General features: G+C 33.4%; 1 protein-coding gene across 8 annotated transcripts in view; it reads right to left on the reverse strand.

The window, feature by feature from the left end:
• MDGA2 (MAM domain containing glycosylphosphatidylinositol anchor 2) overlaps positions 1–19,115 on the reverse strand; it is an 835,983-nt gene that overhangs the window by 66,141 nt on the left and 750,727 nt on the right. For all 8 annotated transcript variants that reach the window (XM_011536519.3, NM_182830.4, XM_047431048.1 and 5 more), the window contains one exon: positions 14,249–14,397. In XM_011536519.3, the coding sequence (XP_011534821.1) occupies positions 14,249–14,397 (149 nt within the window). The remainder of the gene's footprint in view (positions 1–14,248; positions 14,398–19,115) is intronic.

The following is a 19,115-nucleotide window of genomic DNA, read 5'->3' on the forward strand; positions in this document are numbered from 1 at the left end:
AAATCTTTGAAAATTAGATAACTGAAACAAAACAAAACAAAAAAACACAAATCTCTTTGGTGAGCAGCCATAGTTAATCTTTTCTGGAAGTAGTAAAAGTAACCAAATTAAACATAAATCCCTGAGGGTCAACAGGTATATAGTGGGCACTGAAAATATGCATAGCTGCATAGATAAAATTGTTGAAAATTTAAATAAAAATATTTTGTTATATTAATGTTAAACTCATAAAATTTTCAAAACTTACAATGGCATGTTGTCATTATATAAAAGAGTCATCAATAATTTACTAATAGCATATAATTAGTATTAATATTATACAGTTAGTATTGATATTGCATATTAAGCCACTCTGTGCTAGATACTGTACTGTAGAATAAGCAGGGGGAGAGGGAGATGTACTTCAGAAAGGAATGACATTTTTCTTGCTTTTGAAATGATTTCATAAATTTATCTGTACAATGTATACCCCCAAAATGAGTGCTTAAGCTTACTTTTCTTAAAATGAGATGAGTCCTTAAAATAATAATAATAATAATAATAATTTTACTGAGAGTTTACTGTGTGCTACTAAATTCATAGTCCTAAAATACTTAAAATAGGAAGTAATAGTTGGGACCAGAATTACTGAACTTTCTTTTTGGAAGTAAATAGGTGCCTAGGACATGCTGAATAAACCTGGATATTGATAGAAACACTGAGCCTTGTCATTGCCTTGTTTTATAAAATAAAACCTATCATGGCACTTTCTAGTAAAACCATTAATTAAAAAAGATGATTATGCACAAGTTCTGTTTAAAATTTGGTAAGATTTCACTATTCTATCACTGATATAAATTAGAGTATATATTTACTTGCCATCTGTTAGCTAGAACTTTACACTTTATAACTGTCTAACAATAGGTTAATGTATCCTTTATAATACAACTCTAGGAAGGGAGATAATTTTCTTTGTTTGAATCACTGTAATATTCCCACAGTCTAGACTAGTATTTATTAAAATGATGTATAACCATAATAGAGTCAATTACTCAGTAGAGAGATGTATCTTTCTGGATCAGAAGGAAATCATTTTGCCCACCCGGACAAAATGTGCCATTATTTAAATTTAATGGCACATTAAAAATGTGCCAATACATAGATTAATTACCAATTGACTGCCATTAAGCAATCTCAATTACAACACTGCATTCTTTGCTTACCTTTTTCTTTTTTTTTTTTTTTTTTTTTTTGAGACGAGTCTTGCTCTGACGCCCAGAGTGGAGTGCAGTGGCACGAACTCAGCTCACTGCAACCTCCACCTCCCAGGTTCAAGCAATTCTCCTGCCTCAGCCTCCCAAGTAGCTGGGATTACAGGCTCATGCCACCATGCCTGGCTAATTTTTGTATTTTTAGTAGAGACTGGGGTTTCACCATGTTGGCAAGGCTGGTGTTGAACTCCTGACCTCGGGTGATCCTCCTGCCTTGGCCTCCCAAAGTGCTGGGGTTACAGGCGTGAGCCACTGCACCTGGACTGCTTGTCTTGCTTTCTAGCAAATCAGTTGTGGATTTTGCATTTTCATCTTCCACTAACAAGTGTTCTATCAGTCCTCTCATTCTAACAATTTGAGAATACCTGCTGATCTAATTTGCAAAATGCCAATTCTCTCCTGTTGACCTCTATATTATTCTAATGATTAGATTCACATGACATTTTTGAATTTAGACCTCTATTGTTCTCATAATATACCACTGTAAATTTTGTCCAAGAGACTTTTGATGAAACAGTGCCTACAGAAATAGATATTATACATATGTATTTGATTTCCATATGTATAATTTGCTTAGGCTTTTATTTTCCTATTGCATACTTATGTGTTGCTCTCATTTCTTAGCTGAATTACTTTGTGACACCATTTTTCATATCATTCATGTCTCTACTCAAATGCCATCTCCTTAGAGAGGCATTCCTTGACCACAATATCTTATACAAAAGCAATGCTACTCTTTTTCCATTATCTGATTGTATTCTACCCCTCAAAAATATTACTAGTACCTGATACAACAGTAACTGTTTATTTGTATACAGTATTAGTATTTCTTCCTAAATAAAAAGGAAAGTTTCACAAAGTAGGAATTTTTCCTGAGTACGTAGTTAAGGTACTTTCTGTCTTCTCCTTAGCTCAGAATGAGAGGCACATCTTTGTCCTAGGAATTAGCATATTATGTACCAATTTAAAGGCAACAAAAAGAGTTGCAGGCACCATTGTGTTACATTGATATAAGTCCCCACGAAGAGACAATAACCCTCACACATATCATCACACCACTATCATATCAGAAATAAAACCAAAATGATCCTTAAAATCACAATTTCTGGTGCTTATTACAAAATATGAACTAACAATTTGGAGTGGTATAAACCTCTTTCAAAATTTCAGAAGCTAAAAATGTAAAACAAAAGCTATTTGCAGTGCCTAGAGTAGGCTGACTGAAAGGGGATGGAAATAGCTAAAGCTCTAGCTCTTTATTTCCTAGTACTTTATATGCTAACTGGACCAAATTTTATCTTCTGCCACCTCTCTCTTAGCTTTTGTGGCACTCTAACCCTGATCAATTCTTTGGAGCTATTTAGGATTATTCTATCCTATTTTAAAATTGTGATTATTGAGATAGAAAATTTAAAATAATTATTTAAGTAAGCATGAAAATGTAGTATTGATTGAAACATTTAGGAGTCTTAACCACTTTCAAAGCAGGACTAATTGCCTCCACGACAATGCCTCCTGGATTCTCATAAGTTCTTATTCGTCAAGAGTTTGCTGTGCAAGTGATCTGTCTTATAAACTGTCCATAGGTTTTTACATATCCACCAGACATAATACATCCTCAAAATATATAGATTTAAACTGTATTCCAGATCTGAAGATTTCTAATTTCTTACTCCTGAACATAATTTAGGGTTATAAATGTAGCCACTAAATCTTTAGGTAATTTACCTTACCTCATATAGTTTTTAAGAATAAGTAAAATGTCAAATGAACATGAGAGAAATTATTGCTTCATTTCAATTAGTGTGCTTGATTATTTGAAATTAGATTCCTTCTTTCCCCAGATTGAAGTATAAGTCCACTTTCCATCAAGATGGTTTGAAAATTGTCCCAAAATAATGAACATGTGGGAAATGTAAAGATCAGCTTCTGCTACCTTCCCAAATTTTCAATCATTTGGCATACAGAATGAATTTTAACGATGCCAGCTTTCCCTCTATGTCTGTTTTATTTGTTGCATAGCATTAATTGCTTTCTAACCGTTAATTTTTTGTCTGCTTCCTACTCTACCAAACTATACGCTTCATGAGATCATGGATATTTTCTGTCTGGTGCACTTCCTATCTCATGTACACATAATAGAACATAATACATTTAATTGCAAAAGATGAATCAAATCTTTATTCTTATTCCTTTAGTATTCTACAAATAAAAAGTAGATCTTTTTGAGGTTATATTTTTAGAAAATCAAATGCACTATTAATATATTCAATCAAATATTGCTGTTCAGAAAGGCAGAACTTAGTAGTAATTTGAGATCTTCATAAGTATTTGGTTCTTTTATTTCTTACAAGTTCAAGGAAGAACATTTTTTTTCCCATGTTTTCCTCAGATCAAGTCAAGGGGCTGCTTGGGTGAAGAAAGTGTGAGCAGAAGCACCGTATGTCCCTTTCAAAAGGAGAAATTAAGGCCTGGTACCTGCATCAACATGCTCCCTCCAAAATACAGTTGACATGCCAAAGATAATTTTATATCAACACATAGAAGCACTTAACTGAGTTCACTAACATTAATGGGATACTAAGATACCTTCTAATATGAGGCAAGGATAATCAAAAAATTATAGAGGAGATATTGTAAAGGACAAAAATACATCTAAATTGAAACTATTTTTAAAAATTCTTCCTTTATAAAAATTATGACCTATCATTGCAGTACCTTATATTATAGCATAAACACATATATCTTCAAAATCAGCTTCTCTAAGCAGAGAAACTGCTTATTCAATATAGGAAAACTACCTATGAATTTTGTATTGTGTCATTTTGCTAAGATATGGAACTCTAAAGGAAAAGTTTTAGCTTAAGATCTGTAGAACACAAAACAAAAGAACCTCATGGATATATTAGTACATTGCAGATATTTTTATATTTTAACTTGAAGCTTTCCTATTTTGTTTATAAATGTTACAATTTTACATTTCCTTGAAAATATTCCATTAAACCTGTGCCTAACATCCATCTCAATAAGAGTTAATTTTCATTTTTAATATAAATTTCATTTTTAATATAAATAATCATGTTCAAGGGTATGTTCTTAATATATAGAAATGAGACAAATATTTATATGAATTGACATAAGGTTATCTAAAGACAATAAGCATGTAAATAGTGAACACTGTTTTCATCCCTGCCTTTTTGCTCTCTCCCTTCCCCTAGCCTCCATTCAATCATCAAATCCTCCAGATTTTGCCACATATATTTCTCTCAAATTTCCAATGCAGCATCAGATTCAGGTCATGCTATTTCATTTGAAAAAAAAGAACAGCTTTTACTTTGTGCTTGTCCCCTATTAATTTAGTACTGCATTAATGACTGTTTGATTTTTCTCTTTTGACTCTTTTAGTGTCTCCCCACTTTTCAAGGTAAAGTTTAACTTCTTTGGAACTGTTCCTATGGTCCTTCATGCCTCAAAATAATAAGAGCCATCTATGACAAAACCACAGCCAACATCACACTGAATGGGCAAAAGCTGGATGCATTCCCCTCGAAACCAGCACAAGGCAAGGATGCCCTCTCACCACTCTTAATTCAACATAACAATGGGAGTTCTGGCCAGAGCAATCAGGCAAGAAAAAGAAATAAAGGACATTCAAATAGGTAGGAAGGAAGTCAAACTGTCAGACTTAATGACATGATCCTGTATCTAGCAAACCCATAGTCTCAGCCATCAGTGCTCACCAATGGTAGACTGGATAAACAAAACGTGGTACATATGCACCAAGGAATGCTACGCAGCCATAAAAACGAATGCAATTATATCCTTTGCGGGGACACGGATGGAGCTGGAGGCTATTGTCCTCAGCAAATAAATGCAGGAATAGAAAACCAAATACAGCATGTTCTCAGTTATAACTGGTAGCTAAATGATGTGAACACGTGGACAAATAGAGGGCAACAACACACACTGGGGCCTATTGAAGGGGTGGAGGTTGGGCGGAGGAAGAAAATCAGGAAAAATAACTAGTGGGTACTAGGATTAATACCTGGGTGATGAAATAATCTTCACAACAAACCCCCATGAAACAAGTTTACCCATATAACAAACTTGTGCATGGACACCTAAACTTAAAATAAAAGTTAAATAAAAAAGATAAGTAATGCCTATGATATCTAAACTATCACCTTCAAATTTCTACTCAAATTATTGCTTCCATCTTTTTACAAATGGTTTCCAAAACTTGAAGTCTGATAAAGCAATTTAAACATCAATGATATTTTGCATTTCTTTCTTGAACATTTTAAAACAGAAAACAGAAGCTGGGAAAACATAGTCCATTACTGAGTAGTTGTACAGCAGTAGTTACGTAGTTTTATTGACATCTGTCATGTCAAACATTTATTATTCAAAGATAAATATTGTTTCAGCTATTTTAGTTAAATCTTTTAAATGTTGAAAAGCAGTCAGGTTTTTGGTATAAAAGTCATGTAAAGATGTGGATGACTCCACATTTCAAGATAATTTAAGAAACTTTAACTACAACTGAAAATGATAAAGCTAAACTAATAGTCATTTATCATTAAAATTATAAGAAGCAATTGAGAATGATGATTGATTCAAAATCAACTGCAAGTTTAAGTGAAATGACATATAAGGAAATCAATTTTACCTCAAGTTAATTTATATCTAAACAAGAGTAAAGATCCCATGGCATATTTCTGGTAATAAAAACATCACGAAACTTCTAAATAAAGCCCCAAACACTTATAATATTAAACATAAAATAAATGTGAGCTATACGTACATTTAAGAAATATTAATACAAACAAGGAAGATAATTATTACCCAATAATTCCAGTTGAGGGTCATGGGGTGGGGCAGGGCTTATTCCAGCAGCCAGGGTGCAAGACAGGAACCAACACTGAACAGGGCTCCATCCCATTGCAGGGCACACTCAGACACACACCCACTCTCACTCAGACTGGGAGTGATTCATTTAGACATGCCAATTCACCTCATGGGCTCATGTTTGGGATGTGAAAGGAAACCAGAGAAATCCACAGACGAGGGAGAATATGCAATCTCCATACAGATAGTGGTCCCAGCCAGGAACTGAATTTTTTTCTCATCAACGTTATAACCATATGACCTTAAACAAATGACATTATTCAAGGACCTGCTGTACTTTGCTCATAAGCAAATTTGCATTTTCATATTTTAAAATTTTGTTTGTAAGTACAAACATACACACGAATGCACATTCACACACTGTCTTCTTAGTTTCCATACAAATACAAGATTTTTCTACCCTGCAGTTCGTTTTTGCTGGAAATTCTATTACTACTGTCTTCAGATGAAAAATTTATGCCTAAATTTTTACCACCTTCAGTTTCATATCTAATGCTTTTGACTTGTAAATTAACATATTGAAGAAAAAGTGTTCACCCAAATTCTAGTAGCATGTTTCTAATCTGGATAACGGTTTTATGCTCCCCTATCACTCCAGCCTAACAAGTCCACATGTGAAAATATGGGAATACTTGTAAACATTGATTAAAAATCTTATTTATGTCAATAACTTAACCCTCTTTCACTCTTTTAAGTGTCTTTGAGGTTGCTTGTTTCCTCCACGTTTCTAATTAATTTTCTCAAACCATATTTCTAAACAGAATTAAATCTATACAAAGGCACCAGACTCAGAGAAAATCCTCAAGAAGTATTTGGAGTTTTCCAAGACAAGGTACCCTTATTTTACAGAACCTTCTACATCAGTCAAGGGTCCATCCCTGACCCAGGTCTCTCAAATTTACCATTTATATATCCCTTCTCATAAACACATTGTAAAATTAGTTTGTAGGAATGAAGCAGATATATGCAATGTCCTTCATTTGGAAGATGAAGATAAACTTCACTTTTTACAACTGACATATGGCTTATTTCTTTTCCAGAGCCAGAGAGACCATTTACAAAATGGTTTCTCTACATTTCTCTGAGTCCTTCATTCTCTCTCATCTCTATATGTTTAATGCTTTCCAGAGCATTCACTAAAGAAATTGAAGTGAATGACAGAGAAATAAGGTCACTATCTTTTTCAAAATTGTTCCCCAAAACAAAGTCAAAATTCAAGTTCTGCCTATTTTAACGTTTTCTTAATTCCATTTTTCTTCTTCTCCCCTTTCACTATTCTAATCTAAATCATCAGTACATGCCCCAAATATGTGCCTAACTGTTGTACCTGTCTCTATTATAATAACATTCAGTATACTCAGTATGGTATTATAAGATTAATCTATGCAAGATGTCATTTTATTCATGATTTAAGATTATACAAAGAATCCAGATTATCAAATCTCCACAGATTTTCCTGGACAGGCATGAAATGGTTCCTCCAAACAGTTCTTGCAATAAAATCTATCTAAATGGGCTAAGTCAAGCACAAAACAAGCAACAATAAGCAAAAATTATTCACTAAAATAACTTTTAAAAATGTTTTAACTGGAAGGAGAAATAAGCAATAGCTCAACCATTATAGTCACATCTACTGAAGACCAAAATTAAATTTGTAATAAAGTTATCCAACAATCAATTGTATCAAACATATCTTTTTTGCTTATTACTTTTTATTAGTAATTAGTGATTACTCGTGGTCACCGTTTAAGAAAGTTTAGGAATAAACCTATAAAATTAACAAACAAATGAAGTTTGCACCTCAGTGATCGTGTCTCTTGCCCCACTACCTGGCAGTACTAACTGCCCCCATCGATTTCTATGATACTCTTTGTTTATTTCTATTAAACCACTTACTTTTATAAGACGTTGAGGACAATACTTCGTTTTTAAATTCCTGGAAATTACCATATAACTAATTTAATCAAATTTTATTGACTGAATGGGAGAGCAAATAAGTATGATAATTCTAAATATTTTAATACAACATGACTTAAAAAAGGAATTGGTCAATTATGGATTTTTTTAAAATAAAATATCCTACTTTCCAAAGATACAGTCAAAAAGTCACATCATTGTGTATTTCTATGGCTGAATATAAAAAAGGAAACTGTATAAAATTGTGTATTATTTAAAACTGTAATTGTGTACATTTCAAATGAAGTAAAATGATGTTTACGTTGCTTGGTATATTTAGATAACTTAGAAACATTTTTCCTGTTTTTTAATTCCTTAGATACCAAGGAAAGTAGATATTCAAATAATCTTTTTCTCTTTCCTGTTAAGCAACAAATGAAGCAAATAATTGGAGGTTAATAGCTGTCTAAGGAGATTAAACAATTGCTTAGCTGAGCCTAAAAAGTACAACTTTGTTAGGACATAAAGATTCTGAGAAAACTTTTTTCCACAAATTAATTTTTTAGCTTCTCATTATATATTAGTTCTCTTTTTAAGTTTCTTAAAGCAGTGATTCCAGAATTTCAGTGCTTTTTTTCTAGATATAATGCATTATTTTACAAGAAAATTGTGTAAGTCAATACTGAAATCTGAGACAACTTTCCTAATCAAATTTAAGTACAGACCATACAGTTTAACCAAAAGGGAATGCTGGGTTCAATTTATCAACCCCCTACATCTATGAGTTTAATAACACAGCAATGGTTTTTATAATCCTATTTAATTTAAGAATGATTAATAAGATTTCTAAAGGTTTCTGGATTAAAAATAAGGTAAGGTCTTAGGAAGTGAATCTGCTATTAGTCTTAAAGAATCGAATTTGTTTTCAGACTTCATCTCATACACAAATGCATTATGTAATCAAGGCAATGTTTGATATTAAGAGGTGAGATTTTTGTACTAGATAACCTAGGTATTTTATGGATAGAAGAAATCATGTACATGTATAGGCTAAAAATAGAAATATTGCCTAAAATAATAAGACTTTAAAAATCACAAAATATGTAACATAAATTAATAATCCTTTGAATAAAATTTGGCCTTCTAGTAAAATATGTGAACCATAGTTATTAGGACATAAATCCATGTATTTAAAAATGTATATTGCTTAGGCCACATGCCTAACTCAGTGTATTTAAACCATCCAAGTTATGTTTACTATGTTCAAAAGCTCATTGATTTAGGATTCTGAAATAGTTTGGCAGATGAAAAAGGCTACATGCATGTAATATAAAATCTTCATTAAAATAATAAACAGTTCAGAATTCAAGAGTGATTTCTTTATCCAAAGGTGATTTTTAAAAGTTAGTATCTGATTGTGTCCTAAGATAATATTGATATTTAAATGTCAATGCCTGGTAAAGGAGAAATTTAAATTTTCTGAGAAAATATAAAAATGCTAGAAATCTTCCCAACACACAGAAATGACAAATACTCGAGGTGATGGATACCCTAAATACCCTGACCTCATAATTACACATCCTATGCATGTAAGAAAATTTCACATGTACCCCATAAACATGTATAAATATAGTGTATCAATAAGAACAGAGGGGCTAATCTAATGGAGAAAGATAAAATCCTATCACTCATTTACCAAACAAATCAACAGATTTTTTTAAAGGTTAGTTTTAGTGTTGTAATTATCATTTCTTATCTTAAATCTAATATGAAGAAAGCCCATATTCTAAATCTCTTTCCTTTCTGAGGAAGGAGAAAAGCATCAAAATCAATTGAAAACCTTGAAGTTCAGCAGTCCCTCCCAAGGCAGGGTCACGCCTGCTTCCACTCAAGGTCTGCAGAAGGGGAAGGTAAGGAAGCAAAGCGGCAGGAGGCATCATTAAGGAACTGCGGGGGACATGTGGACTAGAAGAAAAATAAACCACATCCAATACACTGGCTGTGCATCAGAATTACTTGGGACACTTGCTATAAACACAGCGGCCAGGCTTCTGAACCCAGGAGCTTGTATTAAGGAGGAGCTCACAGGATCTTGGTATCTGCTTCTCTGGGTATCTCTGGGCATCTCTGGGCATCCTGATGGAGGTTGTCTACAAACCTCACTTCCAGAAAACCTGGCTTATAATGTCATTCCTAAAGATGACAGAGCTGGTGAGACAGGTCACACTTCGAGGAGAACAAAGAAGTAGTTTCAACTGGTCTGTGGTGGGACCCAGACATTAGCCCACATGTAACACTCCCCAGGTGATTCCAGTGGGCAGCCAGGGTTAACACTGCCCTGTCTGGTAACATCCGCCACATAGATAAAACTTTGCCTGTTCTCATTAAAAAAGCTCATCACTTCCTACTCCCAAGACTTGTTCAAAATCCCATTAGTCCCAGCATCCTCCATAGGATGAAGAGGGGCGGAGGAGCTGGGGTCCATGAGAAACGTACAGAGACCTGAGTTCGAGCCTTGGCTCAGCTACTAACTGGCTTCGAGATCTTGATCCTCAGTCTCCCCATCTCCAAAAAGGTAATGTTTGCAATAAATTCCTTTAGAATGTAAAAAAAAAAAGCACCTATTTCCATTAATGCCTTTGTTTCCTGTTATTAAAAAGGAATTTTTTAAAAAAGAACTACATCGATTTTATTGTATCTAGAATACTTTTGCCCTACCATCCTAAACTTTTGTTTGTAAGTGAATCTTCAAAGGCAATGTTGCTTGCTGGGGCCATTTTGCATGTAGAGATGTTTTATGCAAGAGTTCAGTGCAGAGGTTATAGTTTTGAAAAAAAGAGGCGTGTGTCTACGTGCTCCTTCTCTTCTTACACCCCATCTACAAACAGCACCATCTTATTCACATTGGCAGAACAGCACAAAGTCATTACTCTTTATTGAGACATCCCTGAAAGATACATCAAAGTTTTCTCTCCCATGGAAAGAGTAAAATTACCAATTAGAATACGGCATCATAAAAAGCACCCTAGAAAAAAACGCTTATTTCTAAATATAAAAGAAAATCCTAAGAACAAAGGAGTACAGAAAAGAATGTATACAGTGGCAGGTAAAGAGTTAGCTTCAAAAATTGAGTAAGGGAAATATTTGTTTTCTGCACCATGGTTTATTACACTAGAAATATGTTTTTTTTTTCCTCTAGTGAATAGCATGCATCTTACAAAACCTGGAAAGAACAGTATTAGTATCAGACTTACTGATCCAATCAAGAAGGCTTGAAATGAAACTCGAAGTGGAAGAGAAAAATGTGAATCAATAACATAGATCTTACAGAAGACAATAGGTTTGAAATGAAAATGAGACATAATAAAAAAAGGTCTAGAAATTATTTTGTGAAAACCATGACTTGAAATAATGCTTAGGCTTAGAATAAAACTCAAATAATAAAAATACTACACATGCTCAGCTCATGAAATGTACTCTTTTAAAAAATCTGTATACAACACTGACAGATGAGTATAAGAATTGCCATAACTGTTTGTGCAAGGAGTGCCCTGCACAAGAGTACCTGGCCTGTGGAACAAGTGGGGGACATAATCCACTTCATATTCCAATTGCCTGACAGGTATAATCTTCAATTTACAGGATTAAAAACCCAGGCTTAGATATGCTCAGAAACATGCTCAAGGTTATGTAGCTATAAAAATATGAGGCCGTATTGGCTAGAATTGGAAGCCAAGTGTGTCTGGAATTCATTATTTTAAAAAAACATAGAAAAGGGAAATTTATACATACATATGGAATCATATATAATTTATTCTAAAGAGGAAGAGTAGGAGAAAATTCACTAATTTTTCAAAAGGAACAATACAATGACTGAGAAATGTGTGTCACTGCGTATCAGGGAGTTATACACCAGTTTTATGATAAAAAATATAAAAAATTGAATTTGGAGATGTTCATGTCAGGAAAGGAAAATAAAAGAAGACTTTGTCACTGGAAAATGGTGTAGCATTTCCCAGCAAAAAATATTACAGAGGATAGTCTGCTAATGAGTACAAGATATGGATGAGAAAGAGAAGGCTTAAATGACGGGATCTCTCTTGGGAGGAATTCTAACTCATTTAAATTTCGCTTATAGGTAAGGATTTTGATTTGCATCCACAACACAGATACTAAGTAGAAACAAAGTATTTGAGGTGCATAAAAGTAAAGGAAGAAGATGATGAGAAGGGTTGGGTAAATTCTATGAACTTAAAACACACAGCTAGTAATGGGAAGTTACCCAGAGACTCCAAGAAAACGTAACTGAGGAAGAAAGTAAGAAACTAAAGATACAATTATGACTCTATCTTTGCAAATAGACCTATAACCAGAAAATAGCACAATAATTACCTAAAGAAAACAATTGATTTTACAAATGAAAATTTAGTCATAGATTCTTACATTTTTACAAAGCATGTATAACAAAAAAATGAATATGAATGATTAAACAATGTAGTAAGGAGTTTTAAAAAGAGTATGAGGTGTGTAAAGTCAAGAATCCTTATAGATACTCCAAATATGAAAGGTTATAAAATATTAGCTGTGTTAAGGAAAAAAGAAATAAGCCCACAAACTGAGGGAGAAAGAACTGCTAATTTGTTTTGTTGCTGCTATTGTTTCTATCTTCTCTGTTTAAGAAAATTAGCAAATTAGAATGGGTAGAACGATGTTAATATAGATTTCGGTTTTGCTCAGATTTACCTACAGTCCTTTTTCAATGAGGGATAACCAGAGAAACACTGTGAATGATCCACTATGGTCTGCTGTATCGGTAGCCTGTGTGCACTTAGAGAAGAATCCAGTAATTATCAAAGGCCAGGATGTTTTCACTAGGAAAAGCTCTTTCACTTTTTTGAGAATCTTAAACAGGGTGAATAAGAATATGCTACATACAGTGTATCTTTTTTTTTTTTTTTTTGGAATCGGAGTCTTTTTCTGTTGCCCAGAGCTGGAGTGCAGTGGCGCGACCTCGGCTCGCTGCAAACTCCGCCTCCCAGGTTCACGCCATTCTCCTGCCTCAGCCTCCCGAGTAGCTGGGACTACAGGCGCCCGTCAACATGCCCGGCTAATTTTTTTGTATTTTTAGTAGAGACGGGGTTTCACCGTGTTAGCCAGGATGGTCTCAATCTCCTGACCTCGTGATTCGCCCGCCTCGGCCTCCTAAAGTGCTGGGATTACAGGCGTGAGCCACCGCGCCCGGCCACAGTGTATCTTAATGTGAGTAATGTGTCACACAAGTATTTTATTGTAAAACACAATGGTTTTATGATAGAATAGCTGAATGAATCGTTGGAGGTTGATCAGTCTTACTCGATGAAAATTTTATTCTCTCTACCATCCCAATTCAAAAGATTTTTCTGTGATACAGTTAAGGAAGTGGAACATGCACTTTGCCAATCTAGGGATAATACAAGGTTTTGGGAGAGAGCTAAAAGATTATGTGGTGATCAAATAAATCTTCAAAAATGTTTTGTTATGCTGAAATTCATCCAGATAATATGCTAAGAAGAAACAATGTAAAGACCTCCACTTAAATTTCAAAAATATCATTTAAACAAAGGATACGTGAATTTAACATTTTAACCCTTTGAAAAAGATACAGTTTTTTCCACATAACCCTTGATCTTCAGCTCCCTTAAGAAACTATCATACTTTAATTTCTTTTCATTTTACAAAAGTATTTCTATTTCTCAGACATATTAAATTAGCTTATGCAACATTCTGTATATGTCTTGAACCCCTAAAGCAAAAATATGTACAACTTCTGGCTTCTTAGGAATCAAGACAAATGATTATGCAGTATAGGTGAGTGTGAGCACATCTGAAATAAGTTCCTTTTATGAAGTTATACCATGTAATTTATCTCTCTTATCTAGTGATGAAGGATTTTAGAAGGCTCAAAGGCTGTCACTTTAGTATGTCTGCTGTCATAGTGAAAAATATGTAATTTCAAAGATTTTTCAAGTAAGTCGGAACAGTTTATGTGGAGTAATATACATAGGGTGAAAACATATCTATCTGTCTATCTATATACAGAAACACATATACATAAAATATATTTTGGAATTCATGCAAAACTCTTAGAAAAATGATAACAACAAGGTCTTCACAGAGGACCACAAAGAAAAAAGGACATCAGTTAGATTTCTCACCTGCCTGATGCCCAACCGGTATGCAACAATCCGATCCACTGCATCAGGATTCATCTGTGTCCACTGTAGACTGTAAGAATAAACACGGTGTCTGTTCTGCCATACTGGATTGTAGGTATCATAATAGAATTCTGGAGCATAGGCCTTTCCTGAAAACAGAAAGTGTGCTTAAATTTGAATGATGACATATTGTAGTGTAAGCATACTTATTCCCTTTGGCCCTTTTACCATTTCTACTATATTTTTCATTAGTAATTATAAAATCCAATCAATTTTCTGGATATGTTTTGAGAACAGATGTGAGATTTCCTGGTTGATTGGATGGGCAGTGTGAGAAAAGAAGGAAGAACACAAAGCATTTGGCCTAAGTGATTGGAGGAATGGGATTTTCATCAACCAAAATGGAAATCCATGGGAGGATGAAATCTGGAGAAAGAAGATCAAAGTCATTTTTAAATAATTTGAGTGATCTAAATGGATACACCAAGTATGCAGTAGGATATAACTAGTCTGGAATACAAGAGAGATCAAGACTGGAGATATAATCTTGCTAACCATAGGCATGCAGATAGAATTTAAATTTAAAGCCAAGAGACGGATATTACCAAGGAAGTGTGAGTAGATAGAGAAGGTGAAAGTCTGACACTGGGGCAATCCAAGGTTAAGAGTTATGGGAGGAGATAAAAACCACACCGATGCCTGAGAGGGAACAACCTAAATTTGGGGAAAACTAAAAATGTGGTATCCTAGAGGTCAAAAGAGGTATTTCGGGAAGTGAGTGATCCACTGTGTAGAAAACAATTAGTGGAAATGAAAATTTGTGTTTGTATTACCTGCAGCTTTCATCAATAAAGTGAACTTAATAAAACTTAAAACAATTAATTAATAAAAGATCTGGTCAATATTTAGCTTATATTTAGATTTTTAAAGAAATGTGAATTACGTATAGTGTATATACCACATACAAACCATCTCAGTTTTTCTTAATTGCCAAAATGAAAAGTTTACACACCATTTGGAATTATAGATCCACCTTCCCAATATTCTGAAGTATAATTTTTTCTATTACAAATAACATATTTATTTAATAATACAACAATATTTAATGAGAACCTATTCAATGCAAAATATTGTCCTACGTATTAAGAACACAATGAATCAGGTATGGCCTCCTCATTCATGGAAATTAATTACATTTTTTTTCCAGACTTTTCATGTAGCTTCGCAATTCTTAATAAGTTAAAAGCTGTATTTTTATCATCACTCATTTAACATCTTTTCTTTTTTTCTTTCTTTTAATTAGATTAGGCCAGCTGTAGGGCTCGTGCCTATAATCCCAACACTTTGGGCAGCAGAGGTGCTCGGATCTCTTGAACCTAGTTGTTAAAGACCCACCAACCTGAGCAACATAGCAAAATAATGTCTCTACCAGAAAAAGAAAAAAAAAAAGAGCCAGGTGTGGTGGAGTGTACCTATGGTCTCAGCTACTCAGGAAGACCTACTTGCTGTGGTGGGAGGATCACCTGAGTCTAGGGAGGCAGAGGTTGCAGTGAGCCAAGATTGTGCCACTGCACTCCAGCCTGGGGGACAGAGCCAGGCCCTGTCAAAAAAAAAAAAAGAAAAGAAAAAAAAGAAAAGTCTCAAATGAGAGGAAAACAACATACTGAGTGAAGGAATCAACAAGCAAAACATTCTTGATAATTTGTATTTGAAACAAAATTTTTCAAAATGAAATAAAGGAGGTGAATTTAGTAGTAGCTGAGTTAGACAGCTAGAGGTTTTAATTAAAAATACACATCCAATACCTACAAATTTACTAAAGAAGTAATGAGCTGCTTAGATGAGTAACATAAACCTAGAGTGTTTTCATTACAGAGTGGTATCTAGATTGAATTGGGGAGGTAAAAGTCTAGTGTTTCTTTTCTATGAGGACTGAGGGGTTGCTTCTGTTATTTAATCAAGGAAGAAACCTAAGGGTGATTGATTCAGTTCTAAGTAGCCCATTCTTAATAAAATAAACAATTCATTCAAAGAGAATCAAGAAGAGAATACAGGGACAACTAGGGGTTTTTTTTAGCATGGATAAAAAGGCGGGGGGGCAAACAGAATTTTTAGGAGTTGAAATAGATCACAGAAAAAATCAGAATAAATGTTAACAGATACATGAAATAAGATGAATACCAGTGATTTCCGAATAAAATGGTAAATATTTTGACTTAGAAATGTTCTACCAATGACCTTTGAATATGGAATGGCCTACCTCAGTAGACTATAAATTTCCCTTTATTCGAGGTATTTAGTCAACACTTAAACAGCCATTTAGCAGGACTGAGATGGGTAGCTGCCCACAAGATGGTCATTTAAATTAACTTTCAGTCCCGAAACTGAACTGTGTAGGCTGCTATAAAACATTTGCCTGTCAAACTGGATTTGATATGTTAACTAATTTTAGATTAAATATGGTTTAAATACGGAGGAACTGGCACTTCAAAATTATCTCATAACATTAAAAAAGTTCCTCTTGAAAGGCCATATTTATTAAAAAGAATAAGGTCTTTCCAAATATAGTATTCATAAGGATGAATTCATCTCTAAGGTGGTGACCAGGAATCCAGACATTCTCAAATACCCTAGGTTATTCTGATGCAACGAAATACAGACCTTACAATTTGGAATGCTTTAAAGAGGCTGAAATTTCTCTCTGAAATTACCTCCAGGTCTATATAACAAAAGATGTAAAAACTTATCCTAAAGTCATAAGAAACATCTCTTTGGTCTTCTTCCTCCTCTGAGACTGGCAGCAGCATGCCTGATCCAACAGCCAGGATCTCTCTGGGGCAAGACTGAGAGACATCAGATAATGCGGATGGAGCGAAGTAGGATAGAATAATAACAGGAAATATTCGAAGCATTTCAGGAAGTAGCTATCTTATTATAGTTGACTTTTGTTGACTACCACGAGGATAACTGGCTGCATGCCATGAATACAAATTGCCATTATTCTAGGAACATTATTTATCTAAATGAACACTTTTGAAGTTACTGAAATAGTTTTACCCTGAAGTTGAAAAACAGATCCTCATGATCTTGTGAGTAATATGAATTTGTTTACCAAGATCCATTTTCAAGGTAGTAAAAAATTAAGCTCCAATCTAACCCATTAAAATATTGCAAATATATCAAATTTCACTATAAAACGTTATCTTTATATTTAATTGCATGCTCTCACAAAGACTTTCCAATGTATTTTTTTAAATGCTTTATCTGTATTGGGTAAATCACAGGTAATATTTTTTCATGGAGCATTAGATTAGAAAATACTTTAGAGATTATTTCAATATCTCATATTATAGATAAATAAATGAAGGTGCAGAATGGAGATGGGGATAACATATGAAAGGTTATACAAATAAATAATCAAATACAATAAGATCCGTTACTTTTTTTACTTAGAATCATGAGATTAGAAAATAAAGTTTTTTTTAGTTGAATAATCATATTACTTGGAATTAAAGGTAAAAAACGTTTTTAGATGGTGCATAAATAGTAATGATTAGTAATAAGTAATTGCTAATGAGAAATAATTTTCAGTTGTTACGATTAAATATAGGCATGCTTACTTATGCCTCACAGCATACTTTCTACTGAGCCTACTGTGGAAAAGCTTTAAAAGGAAAAATGCTTCCTGATTTTATTGGAAAAGGGCATCTTAAATTTTTTGAAATGAGACACACTTAATTTTCTCCTCTAATTTCAGAGCCAATTATACTTTATGCTTATATATTCATTCATAAGAAAGACACAGTAAAACCAAAGAAATATCCTTATAATAATCTTGGGCTTTGACATCCAAACATGACATCTACTGGTTGAACAGGGAAAGAATTCATAAATATATATATTTTTAATGCCTCAGGCATTTTAATTCTTCCAATAAGCATACCAAGAAAATTTTCTTACTCTGTCACATTCTAGTTTTATTCCTATACTATGTTGTTCCAATCTAACTTTTCACATTCTAGTTTTATTCTTATACAATGTTGTTCCAATCTAAATATTTTCAGATTAACTAACCTAGAACTATATTCATTAACTGAACTGGGAGGTAAATTTTGGAATCATCATGTATGATTATATATAAATCTTGGATTTAAAAAATATCCCTAAAATATCTATATAGAAAAAATTTGTTTTTGAAAATTTTTATAGATTTATATAGAAATACTGGTATTTCATTTTGCAAAATGGTTTTGAAAAATGATTACATTGAGATTGCAAAATATAATTTTATGCATAAAGTTCAAACATAAATTAAAAACAATTATTATTCCCACTATGAACACTTAAAATGTGCTCGGATAAAGGAACTGATTTCAGTAAAGTCAATACAGATTTTGAAATAAAAACAAAATAAGGTATATAATACTGATCAAGACCACACATATCTTGCTTTTGAAAATAATTCACATTTTGGAAAATAGACTGTATGAATATAAACTTAAAAGAATTACACAGGTTTATAGGACATGTTTGCAAATTTAGGGATATCTATCAATTTTTCACTTTGTAAAACAGACAATACATAGCTAATACATATTGCTTTCCTACGAGGTGCTGAGAAAATCTAGATAAATAAAATGAGCCCATTTTATTATCAGATTGCACAATCTCAGAAAAAAAAAACTCATACAGACAACAAATTCTGATACAGTTGGTGGCATAATTGACTCAAAACAAGAACAAATTTCTTTCTTTCATCTAGAAATGCTAGATGAAATTATGCCAAACCTCTTTTTAGATGTATGTTTGCAAGCAAGAAAAAGAAGTCTCTAGGGATCAAAAAACACTGCTGAAAACAAGCCATTTA

This window comes from Homo sapiens, chromosome 14 (assembly GCF_000001405.40).
Source record: "Homo sapiens chromosome 14, GRCh38.p14 Primary Assembly".
NCBI lineage: Eukaryota > Metazoa > Chordata > Mammalia > Primates > Hominidae > Homo > Homo sapiens.